At 50.9% G+C, this 14,170-nt stretch overlaps 6 annotated features.

Annotated features, from left to right (window-relative positions):
• Positions 1 to 505: an enhancer, noted in NCBI's record as "H3K4me1 hESC enhancer chr10:80670266-80670770 (GRCh37/hg19 assembly coordinates)". NCBI's record gives its function as "activates a minimal SCP1, AML or CMV promoter by ChIP-STARR-seq in naive H9 embryonic stem cells {active_cell/tissue: H9 hESC(naive)}" and the evidence as "EXISTENCE:reporter gene assay evidence [ECO:0000049][PMID:30033119]".
• Positions 506 to 1,010: an enhancer, noted in NCBI's record as "H3K4me1 hESC enhancer chr10:80670771-80671275 (GRCh37/hg19 assembly coordinates)". NCBI's record gives its function as "activates a minimal SCP1, AML or CMV promoter by ChIP-STARR-seq in naive H9 embryonic stem cells {active_cell/tissue: H9 hESC(naive)}" and the evidence as "EXISTENCE:reporter gene assay evidence [ECO:0000049][PMID:30033119]".
• Positions 2,755 to 3,274: an enhancer, noted in NCBI's record as "OCT4-NANOG-H3K4me1 hESC enhancer chr10:80673020-80673539 (GRCh37/hg19 assembly coordinates)". NCBI's record gives its function as "activates a minimal SCP1, AML or CMV promoter by ChIP-STARR-seq in naive H9 embryonic stem cells {active_cell/tissue: H9 hESC(naive)}" and the evidence as "EXISTENCE:reporter gene assay evidence [ECO:0000049][PMID:30033119]".
• Positions 3,275 to 3,795: an enhancer, noted in NCBI's record as "OCT4-NANOG-H3K27ac-H3K4me1 hESC enhancer chr10:80673540-80674060 (GRCh37/hg19 assembly coordinates)". NCBI's record gives its function as "activates a minimal SCP1, AML or CMV promoter by ChIP-STARR-seq in primed H9 embryonic stem cells {active_cell/tissue: H9 hESC(primed)}" and the evidence as "EXISTENCE:reporter gene assay evidence [ECO:0000049][PMID:30033119]".
• Positions 5,428 to 5,929: an enhancer, noted in NCBI's record as "H3K4me1 hESC enhancer chr10:80675693-80676194 (GRCh37/hg19 assembly coordinates)". NCBI's record gives its function as "activates a minimal SCP1, AML or CMV promoter by ChIP-STARR-seq in primed H9 embryonic stem cells {active_cell/tissue: H9 hESC(primed)}" and the evidence as "EXISTENCE:reporter gene assay evidence [ECO:0000049][PMID:30033119]".
• Positions 5,930 to 6,429: an enhancer, noted in NCBI's record as "H3K4me1 hESC enhancer chr10:80676195-80676694 (GRCh37/hg19 assembly coordinates)". NCBI's record gives its function as "activates a minimal SCP1, AML or CMV promoter by ChIP-STARR-seq in primed H9 embryonic stem cells {active_cell/tissue: H9 hESC(primed)}" and the evidence as "EXISTENCE:reporter gene assay evidence [ECO:0000049][PMID:30033119]".

The raw sequence follows: 14,170 nt of genomic DNA on the forward strand, positions 1-14,170 counted from the left end.
CACCACTCATCCAGTGTGCCCACCTGGGAGAGTTGCTTCCCCACTCTGGGATCACATTTCCCCTTTGCAAAATTAGATCTTTTTCTTTCATCCTTTTAAAGTGCCATGGGTGCCCTCACATCACTGCTTCTTCCTGAGCCTCAGTTTCCTCCTCTGTGAGATGGGGATGGCATGGCCTTCCACTCGGTGCAGTTCTGGTCCCAGCATGCTGTCGATTTGCTGGGGGACCATGGCACTGGCAGCATGTGTCTTATTAGAGGTCCCTTTCTTTCTAGATGCCATTCTTAAAGATTTCCTCAAAGGTACAGGCAGAGATGTGAGTCAAGCAAGATGAGCCTGCAAAGGAACCAAGGCATCCTCAAGCCACTAGACCCCAGTCATTGAGAGACCATGGCTTTGCAGCCCTGCTCCCCCGGGGCTCCTGATGCCAGTGGGGCAGGCAGAGCATGACACGGTGTGACCAGTGCCGTGAGGACAGAGACGATGCAACATGGGGAGCACAAAGGGTGAGCAGACATTGCCTGTGAGTCCTGCCCGGGGGTCAGGAAGGCCCGCCCAAGTCCCCACTGCCACCTCAAGGCCTTAGTGCCGGGCAGTCAATGCCAGCCCACACCCTTCCTGAATGCCAGACCTGTCCTCTCACTCCTAGTGGGCATCTCCTTCCACTGGTGCATGGGCACCTCCAGCCTGGCTCATCCTCTTACCATCTGATCCCAACCTGTCTCTCTACCTTCTCCACCTCAGTGGTGACTCTACCACCCACACATCCAGAAACTTGGCTTCCCCCTTGTCTTAAACCACTCCTCACTGAACTGGCCTCTAATTGGGGTCCACCCATTTTCCTAAATTCTCTTTATCCCTCCTTCTTCATGCCCACCTAAACCCTCATTTAGGCCTCCTCATACACTGGCCTCTTTCCTCCCTAGACTGGGGATTCCTTGAGAGAGGGCACTTTCTCTCTCAGCAGCACATCCCAAAGCCCAGTATATTGGGGCCTGGTAGGTGCTGCTTAAATTTTTCTTAAATAGAATAGATTAGGAAGTCTTCATAATGGAGGAGACATCTGGGGGGTGTCTGCAAGCCTGAGTAGAAGTTAATCCAGTGGACCCAGAGGAATGGAGTGTGGAAATGACGCCCCTGCTTCGTTCCACAGGGACAGAAACCAGTGGGTCAGAGCCTGGGAGGTGTGGCAGAATGAGAAAGTGGTGAGGCCAGGGCAGGGCATGCTGGAGAGGCACTGGGGCCAGATCCTAAAGGGCCTTCAATGCCACACTAAAGAATGTGGTTTGAGGGAGGCTGACTTTATTTACTTTTCTTCTAGATTTGTCTTTTGGGCAAGGAGCACTCTGACGGCACTTGAGGAAGACAAATCGTGAGACCAGCCCAACACTTGGCTCTGAAAACCTTGCCCCGGCCTCTCATGAGATCAGATTTCCCTGCTTTGGGCCAAACTCTTTAAAGCACTTTGGCATCGGGTGAAAGATTGTCAAGGCCAAAGGGCTGGCAGGGGCATGTTGGACGGTGTCCAGGGTCATGCTGGTCCTCTGCTCAGCTCCTGCTCTTATGCCCTAACCTGGTGGCTCCTTTGGAGCAAGGATACGGAGCAGAGGTGGCCAACCTGGGTAAAGGGTGAGTTGGGGACCAAGGGGACCACCCTGCAGAAGACATCTGTTGTTACAGCTGTGGGTTGGGGGCCACAGCAGTGGGAATGCTCCATTGTTGAGGATGTTTGAAACGTGCCCCTGCGGGAGCAGGCTTCACATGCTGGGACCCCACCTCCAGGATGTCATGGCAGCCCCCACCCATCCTGCTTCTTGGAGGATGGAACTCCTTCTGGATGCTCAGTAGCCAGGGATTCTCCATTGAATCACTTGGAATGGGAGCACATGCAAATTGTGAAAAGACATCCGGGCCATGCTAGTGGCCTCAGCATCACTTTTTCTCCTCCTTTCTCCTCCACCGCTGCAGCTGGACTTACCTGCAGCACACACACATAGCAGGGGCCTCCCCTGAGGTCTTGGGCCCACAGTTGCTGCACACTATATATAGTCTTTTATTTGAAAATTATTTGAGTTATTCATTAATGTATACTCGTACTCCTCCTTGAAGGTACAGTGACGGCACCATCTCTCCCAGGAATTCTCCCTGGATTCCCCCAGGCTGTGGGGTGCCCCTTCTCTGTGCACTATCCACCCCTGCTCCCGCTCCTCACTTCCCTCTATCAAAGCAGCAGCCTCTGCTTTGAAAGAACAGAATGGCAGCGCTGGCTGTGCCCTCACTAGACTGAGTTTCTTCAAAATGTGCCTCATTCATGGGAGTGCCCTAAGCCTGGGACCAGCCAGGGGCTCAGTCATGTTCACAAGCCCAGCCGAAGGAGGGTGGGAAGGGTGGTCAGGAGAAGAGAAGCAAGCAGAGGGGTAGGGGGTGACCGCATCAACCAAGGCTTGCATGGAGAAGAGGGTCCAGGTCGGGGATACTCACACTTGCTCACACATCAGAACACCTGGAGGTGCATCCAAGCTCAAAGAGCTGGGCCCACCCCATGCTCCTGATTCAACAGGTCTGTGCTGGGGCCCAGGGACAGGCATCCCCAAATGGTGCTGGGTGATGCTGATGCTGCTGGTCCTGGGACCACACCTTGAAACCCCATCTGGTCTGAATGACGGTGAAGCCAAGAGTAGGAGGAGGATGAAGAAACTAGGACGAGAAGAGGGCTGGAGCCATGCTGTGCAGGGCATTCAATGGTGGCTCAGAGGAGTCACAGCCACTAGGAGGGACAGTGTCCAAAGGCTGGGAGACGGAGACACCGGCAGCCCCAGGTGTGAGCCCCCACCCTGCCCTGACTCTCTTCCCCACATCAGCCAGCTCCTTCCCAGGGCACCGAAGTCCCCTCCTGTGTGAAAGGCACACAATCTCCATGCCCAGCCCACCTCCTCGAGAGGCAGGTGTGCCTCGCAGGGAGAACGGCCACGAGAGGGTTTTGCAGGCTGGAAGGCCCTCAGCAGATGTGTGAGAGTGATTATTATAATCTCCCCTCCCCCAGATGGCATGGTCCGGGTTGCCCCCTCCTCCGCCTGCCAGGCCCCTCTCAGCGGTCCCCGGGGACATGAAGGGCCCAGCTGCCTCCTGGGAGGCCCAAGCCCAACCTCAGCATGGGCTCAGCCTCCAGCCCACAGGGCCTTTCTTCAGGTGCAAGGACCCAAGTAGCTGTCAGCGGGCAGCTCCTCGGCGGGGCACCTCGGGCGGGCGGGAGGCAGTGGTGGGGGTGGCGCAGTGCAACCAGGGAACAAAGGCCGGCTGGGAGTTGGCAGGGCGCCATCAGGGTTCAATGCACAATGGCCCGGGGGGCTGGCGGCTTCGCTCCTGGCCGGCATTTGCATAATGTCTGGGGCAGGAACAGGTGCCCGGTCAATAGGCGATTGTGAGACTGTTCTGTCAAAAGAGAAGGGGCCTGTATTGAAGGCCAGGCTCGCCTATTGCAATGCAAATAGCATTCAAAGCAGACCAGCCCAGCCTGGACTCCCGGGAGCTCAAGCTTCATGAAAGCCACCGAGCCGGCCCGGCTGCTGCCGCTGCTGGTGCCCGCTTTGTCTGAGGCCAAAGGGTGGCATCAGCAGCGGGGGCTGGGAGCCGTAGCAGGGAGTGAGCAGACTGGTCCACCCATCCAGGAGGGCTTCCTGGAAGAGGAGCTTTTGTTGTTGAACTTGGGCCAAAATATTAGAATGAAACTCTGCGGCTTCTCTGAAGAGAGCCCCAGACTAAAGGGGTTACCCCAGACTAAAGGGGTTACCCCAGCTGGGTATGCCACAGCGAAATCTGCAAGGGCCTTGCAAGCGCCTTGCCAAGTCGCTCCCCACTTCTCTTTGCATGGCTCCAAGCCCTAGGATTCTGGCTCCTTTCTCAGGGTACATAGTGAGTACTGCGTGCTCACAAAAGACCAATGCCGCTCTAGTTGCTCCCTGTGGATGAACTCATTCAATCCTCACAGCAACCCTGTGAAGTAGGGTGTATCTGTGTTCTCATTTAACAGATGAGGAAACAGAGGCACAGAGAGGTCAAAGGTTGCACAGCTAACATGAGGCAAAGCCGGAGACTGAACCCAGGCAGTCTGGTTCCAGAAACCATACTCAGCCACCATGCCCGGGCTGCCAATGTGTTCCCTTGCTGCTTCACGAAGGAACTCAAGTCCAGAGGGCAGCAGCTCCTCCTAGCTGGACCAGAATCCAGCTTCCTGGCTTCCTGCCCTTCCTGGCTCCTACCTCAACAGCTGAGAGTACATCAAAGAGGGAAGGTCTGACGTCCACCTCAGGGATGGGCACACGGAGGTGGCACTGGGTGATAATACTGAGATTACATTTTTTTCCAACACCGAAGACAAGGAAACACCCTTTACCTCACAGAACTATTCCAAATTGTAGGGACTTTTGCTTGGCAGGTTGTGTGGGTTCACTGGAAAAGCAAGGCCCTCCGAAGCTGGGTTCAGGTCCTTGCTCTATCACTTACAAACCAGATGACCTCAGACAACTGACTTCTGTTCTCCAGCTCTCAGGTTCCTCATCTGTGAAATGGTTGGTTGTGATAATTTGCATTCCACGGATGTGGGAAATACAGCTCCTTAAAGTGGTTCTCAGTGGTATCTGTTCCCTTCCCCACACCGGACTCTCTTTGGAAGTGAGAGCCTCAAAAATATTCCACCCCACCCAGTTTCATGCTGAGATGAAGAAGCACAAGCATTTGTGTGGGTGTGAATTTATTAAGTCGCTTGCTTGCATTCCATTGACTTTGCAAGATTTTTTTTTTAATTTCTTGAAAATTTTCAGGGAACTCCCCAGGGGAGGCCATTATCCACCACACAATGCTTGTGATGCCTGAATCGGATAAGAGGAAACTCCCTACTGTAATGGGACAGGTTGAGGGACTCTCCAAGCTCTTCACCGGAACCTGGAACCCTGGGCTCCTCTCACCCAAGCAATCAGAAAACATCAGCGCTCACCCCCTCATCAGTGCACAAGAGCTCTCTTCTCCCAGCCACTCTGATAGATCACCAGTGGCTGCCTGCAGGCTGTGTTGAGCAGGGTTCTGGAGTCACATCCCGGCACATTGGGAAAAAATGTCATGGTCCTCCAATGATGCCTGCTGGATGCAATGGAGGCAGTGACTTCCATTACACATTTGTCAGCCTCAATCTAGTGGTGGGGAAATCAAACCCAGAGAAGTGAATTGGTGTTCCCAAAATCACAGGGTGACAATCTCAAAGGTAGAAATATCTATTATTTTTCAAAAAACAAAGTATTTCCTGAATGTTTTATAATGAACCTGTGTTACTTTCGGAATTTAAAAAAATAAGGTATTTTCAGTTAAAGAAGTTTTAAACACATCGAAATGACCCTACTATTACCATAAGGAAAAGGGAGGTAGAAGATGTTCGGGGCAAAGCCATGGTGTTCAGGGTGGGATTTATTCAGGGCAGGGATGGCTATGTTTTGAGCAGTGTCAATGCATGCACTTGTACAGTGCTTTACAGTTTCCAAACTGCATCTCACCCCCTTATCCAGTTGGTCCTCCCCAAAGCACTTTGGAAGCAGGAAACATAAGCATTATTTACTCCTACTTTGCATGTGAAAAAAAATAAGACTCAGAAAACATGTGAGTTACCCAAGGTCACAGGGTGAATGAGTGGTTGAACTGAGCTGTGACCCCTGGTGACAGGCTCTGGGAAAAGTTAGGAGGAGCCCGAGGGAGCTTAGAGGGAGCCTCAAGACCTTCCATTCCATTCCATTCCAATCCATTCCATTCTTAGCCAGCGAGAGTCACAGCATTTGCGGAGGCAGCTGACCTAGAAGTCAATCCTGCCATAGCCTGTCTGCGGGGACCTGCTGGCGCTGGGAGTGTGGGCCACCCCCAGAGGTAGATAGAGCATCCTCTGGTTCCCGGGCCCTCCCAACCCCCCTCTGCTGACCTCATCAGCTCCCTGCCACACAATGCACCCTTCTTCTCTTTGGCGCACCCCACCCCCAGCTCTTAATTAAACTAGCTGAAGGATACCCTTCACAACAGAGGCACCAGCAGGGCCTTGTTCCTGAGCTGACCATTATCCTGCCTTGGCTACCAGGACCCACCCTCCAGGAGGCTCCTGTGAAGCCCCAAGGCCCTGCGTCTGATAGGTCTGACACCTGGACACAAACAGTGAAAACATCAGCAACGTAACAAGAAGAACCCAGAAATCATAAGCCCTGTATGGATTTTTTCATGAAAAATCAAATAAACCCATACTCATGGTGAGAAAAGGAAGTATGCTGTGGAAGAAAGACATGGAGTCCTAGCTAGGGTTTAACACCTGATTCTACCATTGACAAACCAGGTGGCCTTTGGTGAATTGCTGCCTGTGCAACTCTCAGTTTTCACAGTTATAAAATGGGAGTCATAGAAAAATGCACGTGAAGAAATGACAGGAAAATGCAAACCAAATGACCAGGAAATTGAGAAGGCTGGATGTAATTGGAGCCAAATGTATCACCCCTGGACCCCAGCAAGAGGAAACCTCCTGCTAACTCTTCCTGCTACAGCCGTTAGAAGTCTGCCAGTGATCTCTGATATGTGCTTAGAAGAGGAAAACAGGTCATAAGGAAGTTTGCTGCTTCTATTCCAATGAATAAATTTCGGAGATGTATGCAGTGACCCCAGCTCTCTTGGTGAAGGAGCAGGCAGAGGTTTGCAGTGAGTTGGTGGGAGCTGGCTGATATAATCAAATTTTATGGTTGCATCCATTGTCCTAATTGGCCATATACTTGAAGTTAAAGGGACACAACACTTGGCCACTGGATTCACAATTCTCACAGACCTGTAAGCACATATAGGGCAGTGTGACTAAAAGGCCCCACATCACAGGGCTATATTCAGAGCTCAGGCTCAGGAGACAAGCAGACCTGAGTTGAAATCCTGATATCCAAACTTTGAGAGCTTCAACCATTACATAACTTTTCTGAGCCTCAGTTTCCCCCTATGTAATAACTTTTACCTACCTATTAGAATTATTGAAGATGAAATGAGCAAATGTCAGTAAAGGCAAGGTGGAAAATCAAGCACATTCATAGTTCCCAAACCACTCCCCACACTGCTTCCAGGAGTTCTTCCTTAAATGTAGCCTGACCATGTCCAGTCCCTACTTAAAATCCCAATGGCCTCTCATTGCAATGAAATCCAAACTCTTTAACACGATACTTCCCCTGTATTTCTCACCAACTACATTCTTACCAAGGCTCCCCCAAACTGTGCTCCAACTACACCCAGTCACGGGGTCGATGCTTTCCTCTGGGCACCATCCCTGCAGGTGCTTACCCTCCCGCCCTGTAAGCCCTTCCCCCATTCCTCATCTGCTTAGTTCCCAGCCTCTGGCCCCAGCTAAAAGAGCCAAGGAAGGCTTTGCCTTTGATTCTCTCCTTTTTGAAACGTTAATGAAATTTTTTTTGAATAGGCAGAACATTCACAATATTCAAAATCCAAAAGGCACAAAGAGGTATATAGTGAGGTGTCCCCTCCTCCCATGCCTCTCAGCCTCCCAGGTCTAGCTTTGCTCCCCAGAAGCAGCCATTGTTCACAGGTCTTCATCCTTCCAGAGGAATCATATAGAAGCCTATACATGTGTATACATATATCTTCATTTTCTCCACTTTTATACAAATAATAGAAGAATTTGAATTCCATCTCATTGCGTGCCTTGTCCTTTTCACTTAAAAATACATATTGGAGCTCAGTGCATGCATATTAGTGCATAGAGACACCTCCCATTACCTTTTTGTTTAATGACTGCATAGTGTTCAATTGTACAGATCCACCATAAATTATTTAGCCAACCCCCTAGTGATATTTAAGCTATTCCCAATCTTTGGTGATACAGAGAATGCTTCATGTAATAATCTTGCACCTGTACAGTAATCTTGTACATGTAGAAGTGAGATACATTTCTAGAGGCAGATTTGCTGGGTAGAGAAGCTGGGACACACGTAGTGCCAAGATATTGCCAGATCACCCTCCAGACAGGCTGGGTCCCATTGGTCCCCATAGTATTTACACCACTGCACACTCCATCCACCCTCCAGCAATATGTGTCTGTCCCACACACTTAGCAACATAATCGTGAGCAATCTGGGGTGGGGGGCAGCATCTTTGTGACATTTCCACGGACACTTCTGTCATCATGAGTGAGAGGGAGCCTTTTTTCACACATGATTAGTTTGAGAGCCATCTGAATTCCTTTTTTGTGAGCTATTTGTTCATATCCCTTGCCTGTATTCCTATTAGGTTGTTTATCTTTATTCTTAATGATTTGTAGGAGCTCTTTATTTACCAGGGAAATCAATCTTTTGCTATGGCTTAAGTTGCAAATATTTTTGGTCCTTTGTGTAAGGCTTCCTAAAGAAAGTGATACTTGAAAGGAATTAGATGCCTCTCCTCCATGTCAGGTGACTGCTGAATGAATTGAGCGATAGGTGATTGGTTGGTTGATTGATTGAAATGAATGAATGAATGAATGAGACTTGTCCTGCACAGCTTGTCAGTTAGCCAAATACCCAAGTCAGAACTGAGCAAATTGAGCAAATTAATAGAACTGAAATCCCACCAGGACTTAGTAGCCCAGGGACCTCCCAGAGCCTCCCTCTCCTTCTCCGCCCACCCCAACCCCCTTCCCTGGACAGACCTTTCCATCAGCCAAAGCTCCACCAGGACAGGAGAGCAGGGCCGCAGCTCCCATTACGGAATTTATCTCCCTTGTCGGCCTGTCAGAAACAGAGAATTTATTGCCTCATTCACTTTGAACAAAACCTGTTTCTGGAGACTTTTATGATGGAGGAGTAAGGAAAGGAGTGAAGTGAGGGAGTAAGTGGGGATGGAAGGGATGTGGCCCAGAATATGTAATCTCACAGAGAGAAGCACTTCGGCAAGAGGCCAGAAGTGGGCTCCAGGCATCTCTGGTCTCTCTAGCAACCTTGCTCCCTGCTGGGCAGAGAGTCACTCACCAATGTTTGTGGGATAGAGATTGGGCTTTATCTTGCAGAAGATGAGGGCTTGGCCTCTCCCTAACACTCAAGCTCCTAGTGATCTAGACTGTCCCCTGGGTTCTGTCACACTGGTCTCCTCTCTGCTCAGCCAACAGCCAAACATGGCTGACTGAGAACCAGCACAAGCCGCACACTTACTCTATGCCTGGCTCTGGGCTGTCACGCCATGTGTGTTAGTTCCTGCCAGTTTCCCGGTGCCTGATGCAGTCAGGACAGTGAGTATCCCCATTTTATAGGGGATGACTGAGGAATGACACAAAAGACAAGCAACTTGCCCAAGATCACAGCCAGGCTTCAAACACAAGTAGTCTGATCCAAAACTCATCAGCTCAGCCACTGCACCCACTGCCCAGCAGACATCCAGCTGGGAAGAGGTTGTGGGGAGAAGAGCTGGGCCATGAGCACGTTCCAGGACAAGCTCCCCGATCCAAGGCACTGGGAGAGGCCTCCCTGAAGGACGCTTAGGGATAGCTCTGGGAAGAGGCAGGGAGGGAGGTGAGCACAGAGCCTTCAAGACAGTAGGACAAACAAGTCCAGCATAGGAAGCATAGGCAGACATGGGCAGGTGTGGACAGGTATGGGCAGGCTTGGCATGGGCAGGTGAGGGCAGGTGTGGGCAGGCCAGACATGGCAGGTGTGGGCAGGTGTGGGCAGGCACAGCAGGTGTAGGCAAGTGTGAGCAGGTGTGGGCAAGTGTGAGCAGGTGTGAGCAGGTGTGGGCAGATCAAGCATGTGCAGGCATGGCAGGCGTGGGCAGGTGTGCAATGTGGGCAGCTGTGGGCAGGCCCAGCACAGGCCCCACCTCCTCTCTCCCTTGAGTGATGCCCCATCCTCAAGGGCAGCCTCATTGACCCTCTCCATTAAGTCCCCACTTTCCTGCTTGTCTGTTCCCTGCATCTCCCATTCAGCATCTCTCGCTCCTTTCACTCATCACACCTCTCCTGCACCTTGTTGCATGCCAGGCACCGCACCAGCCACTGGGAATATGACCATTAATAAGGCCCATGAATAAATCACGGCATCTTCTAAAGGGAAGAGCAGTTCTAAGTGCCGTAATAAAGTGTGTGTGAATGCAGAGAGGGAGCAATTAAAACTGTCTAGGAGAGGGAGGACAGGCAAGGTTCAAGAAGGCGCTTCTGAGATGCTGACACCCCAGCTTGGCCTGAAGAGCCGGCAGACAATGGCACAAGGGTGACTCCGGCATAGCCCACTGCCTTCAGACAGAGCAGGCTGTGTTCTGGGAGCCCAGGACCTGACTGAGGAACACAGGTCAATTGGCCAGAGCACGAGGGGCCTGGAAGACCCAGGAAGGACTTGGGGCTCCTTCCTCACAACTGGGAGCTTGTGATGGAGATGATGGGTGTGACATGGTCAGGCAAGCATGCTAGAAAGACCCCCTTCTAGCCCTGGACTCCCTAACTCACCCTACATTTCTTCAGAGCCCTTATTACCATCTGCATATTTGACTTATTATGTTGTATTGTATGAAATGACCATTCTTGTAGGTCAAAATGGGAGAATATTGGCAAGCTCATTCAGTTAAACCTATGGTGTTTTTTGTTTGTTTGTTTTGTTTTGTTTTGTTTGTTTTGTTTTGTTTTGAGATGGAGTCTCGCTCTGTCACCCAGGCTGGAGTGCAGTGGCACGATCTCGGCTCACTGCAACCTCCACCTCCCGGGTTCAAGCAATTCTCTGCCTCAGCCTTCCAAGTAGCTGGGATTACAGGTGCCCGCCGCTACGCCCAGCTAATTTTTGTATTTTTAGTAGGGACGGGATTTCACCATCTTGGCCAAGCTGGTCTTGAGCTCCTGACCTCATGACCCACCAGCCTCAGCTTCCCAAAGTGCTGGGATTACAGGCGTGAGCCACCACGCCTGGCCAAACCTATGGTTTTATTTATGTATATTTTAGATTTATTTGTTATATGTACTTAGTTATATCTTATATCCCTGGAGGCTAGAAGAGTGCCTGGCATAGAGTGCCTGCTCAGTAAGAATTTGCAGGGTAAGTACAGGAATGACCAAGGAGGGACTGGGGAAATGAAATTCCTGTTTAGTCTCCCCTCCTAAACATGGAAGCTCCCAGAGGACAGGGATCTTAAACTCAGCCAAAGACAGCAACAGACCTGCCTCCATTCTTCTTACTTTCCGAGTGGCTCTGAAGTAACTGACTTTTGTAAGCTTTGGTTTCTTCACCAGTAAATAGGAGCAAGGGCAGATGCCTCCATTGTGTGTCATTAGGATCATATCAGAAGTCATGGAAAATGCTCCACATAGTACCAGACAGGCAATAGGTTCACCATCAATGCGATTTCCTTCTTTATAAGCTAGACCCTATTTTGCCCTATTCATACATAAAGACTCACAGCATCAAGACTTCTTTTTTAATGTGAACATTGACATACATTGAGTTTGACAAGACAGAGACTCTACCCACGTCCAGTGAGGTGTGCTCCCATGAGAGCAGGGGACTCTGAGTAAGCGGATGTGGGTCCCATCTGCCTCAGCCCCTCCCTGGATCTGTAGCTCTCAGAAGGTCATTCAGCCTCTCTCCTGGGCTTCTGCTCAGCAGAGAGCTGGAGGCAGGCCAGCCCCTCTCTAGGTTCTTCCAGCTCACTTGCTTTGGGGAAGCATCCTTTGAAAAGTCCCTGGCCAGGTGCGGTGGCTCATGTGTATAATCCCAGCACTTTGGGAGGCCAAGGCAGGCAACTCACTTGAGCCCAGGAGTTTGAGGCCAGCCTGGGCAATGTACTGAGACTCTGTCTCTACAAAAAATAAAAAGATTTGCTGGGTTTGGTGGTGTGCACCTGCAGTCCCAGCTACTAGAAAGGCTGAAGTAGGAGGATGGCTTGAACCCAGGAGTTCAAGGTTGCAGTGAGCCATGATTGAGCCACTGCACTCCTGCAACCTGGGTGACAGAGTGAGACTCTGTCTCTTTAAAAAAGAAAAGGAAAAGCTCTGTGCTCTCTAGAATCTCAGCTTCCATTTGATCCTAGGATTTGGGGGGCAATGTGCTCACTTGGAGGAAAAAGCAGGGCTGCCGCCTGCGCCCCAGCCAGCACCCCACCCCACAGCCTTCCCAATCCACCATTGCCTAGTGGGTGGCCGGCAGGAGTGGTCTCCAGGAGTCTGAGTCCTGCTGGGCTGCCACAGAATCAGCTCCCGGAGCGTGCAGACAGAGCCGGCCTCCATCTCAGTGGCACCTCCACCCTTGTGTGCCCTGTAGGTCCCTGATATTGTGACTGGTTTTGATCCCATGTTTTGACATAGCCATGTGGATGTGGAGAGACTTTGACTCAGGCTAAAAACCAAACATTCTATTTTCAGCTCTTTTTTTATAGTTACCAAGGAAGGTGTTGAAACGACCACCATCAACTTCCTCTATCCGTCACCTGTACAGCAGCAATCACCAGGTCCCACTCTTAGGGTGGGAGTGGCAATGGTGTGAGAATTAAATGGGGAATGAAATATTTTTTAAAAGGAGGGAGGGGGCAGGGATGGCGGAGAGTCAAGGAGGGGGCAGGGACATCTGTCAGACACATTACCTGGACGTAAAGATCAACAATTTTCATTTTGAGTTGGGTACATGAATGCAGCCAAATCAAAATATTCCCCCATCAAAACACCCACCTCTGTGCCTTCCAGGAGACTCACCCTCCAGATTGCAGGCAAGGCTGTCGACTAGTAACTCAGGCAGAAAGAAGAGAGGCTTCTTACTAATCCTAGGAGGTGGCTATACTAGTATCACTCCCATTTTACAGATAGAAATTTGAGGCTCAGAGAGTAGCAGGAACCTGCTCAGGATGGCCCACTGTGCTGGAGGTGGAGGAGATCCAAACCCAAGTTTTTGGATTCCTGGCCCAGGGCACTGCTAGCAGGGGCACCTTCTGGTGTCCCAGGGCAGGGACAGCAGTGGCACGTGGGGAGAGCTGGGGAGCTGGCATCAGTGGAGACAAAGAATGCAGAGAGCCAGAGAGAGTGAAGGAGGCAGCCCCTTGATCTACTCAGAGGCAAATGTGCCCAGATCACCTCCTCCAGCAGGCAGAGCCATTGGTGATGGTGGACAACCTGCATCTGGCCAGGGGAGCGTGCACTGCTGACCATAAAGGCAGCTGCGGAACCAGAAATCTACCCCAACCGCGTGTTAAACAACCGGCCCATCCAGCTGTCCATTCGTCAAGGTAATCGTGCTCCTTCTGCCCATCAGACAGATTTATTAGGAGCAGCAGCAGGAGCCCATCAGAGCCCAGTCACAGCACCCCCCCACTCCCATCAATCCCAACACAGGGCGGGCGAGAGACAGAATATATGTAAGGTCATTTGGAGATGGAAAAAAATCATTCACAGCACTCCCGAAATAGCCGATCTCCGCTTTGCAGCAATTGCCACCTTCTTGGCCCTAAATCAAATTCTGCTGCGAGAAGCAAACTCAATCTTCTCTCTCCCAAGTTTTGCTTTTTATGAGATTGGCAATAAATTGGGGTGTGGACAGAGAAAAGGCACCAAAGGTCACTGGAATCTGGACATGCCTGTGCAGCCCTGAGGGCACAGGAAGGCAAAGGCAATGAGAGGTGAGAAGAGCTCCTGGGTAGGAACAGGGCTGGTGGTGACAGAAGCATCAGGAGGGCCTGGCTCTCTCTAGGATGACAAGCGCAGCCCTGAGTCAGTACTGAGTGGACACATAAACCCACGAGCAAACCAAACCAATTCCTGACTTCATGAATCTTTCATTCTAGTTAAAGAGAAGACACTCTTGCTGCCTTGTTATATGTAAACAATGAGAGCCCTCGCACTTATGGTGGCTGTTTGTGATGATCACAGCCTGGGGCACGTTTAAACCCTCCAGGGTGTCAGGAGAGTGCCTGAGATGAAGAGCCTTTTAAACTCCTCCCACAAAGGTTGCCGTTTCTCTAGGCTCCACCTTTCCAGCGCTTCTCTGTTCACTCAGTCACAAGGCTTCTCAACCCAGGCACTAATGGCATTTGGGGCTAGATAATTCTTTGCTGTGGGGAGCTGTCCTGTGTAGGGTAGGATGTTTAGCAGTGTCCCTGGCCTCTATCCACTAAATGCTGGCAGCACCCACCAGTTGTGACAATGAAAAATGTCATGAGA

This window comes from Homo sapiens, chromosome 10, assembly GCF_000001405.40.
Source record: "Homo sapiens chromosome 10, GRCh38.p14 Primary Assembly".
Classification (NCBI taxonomy): Eukaryota; Metazoa; Chordata; class Mammalia; order Primates; family Hominidae; genus Homo; species Homo sapiens.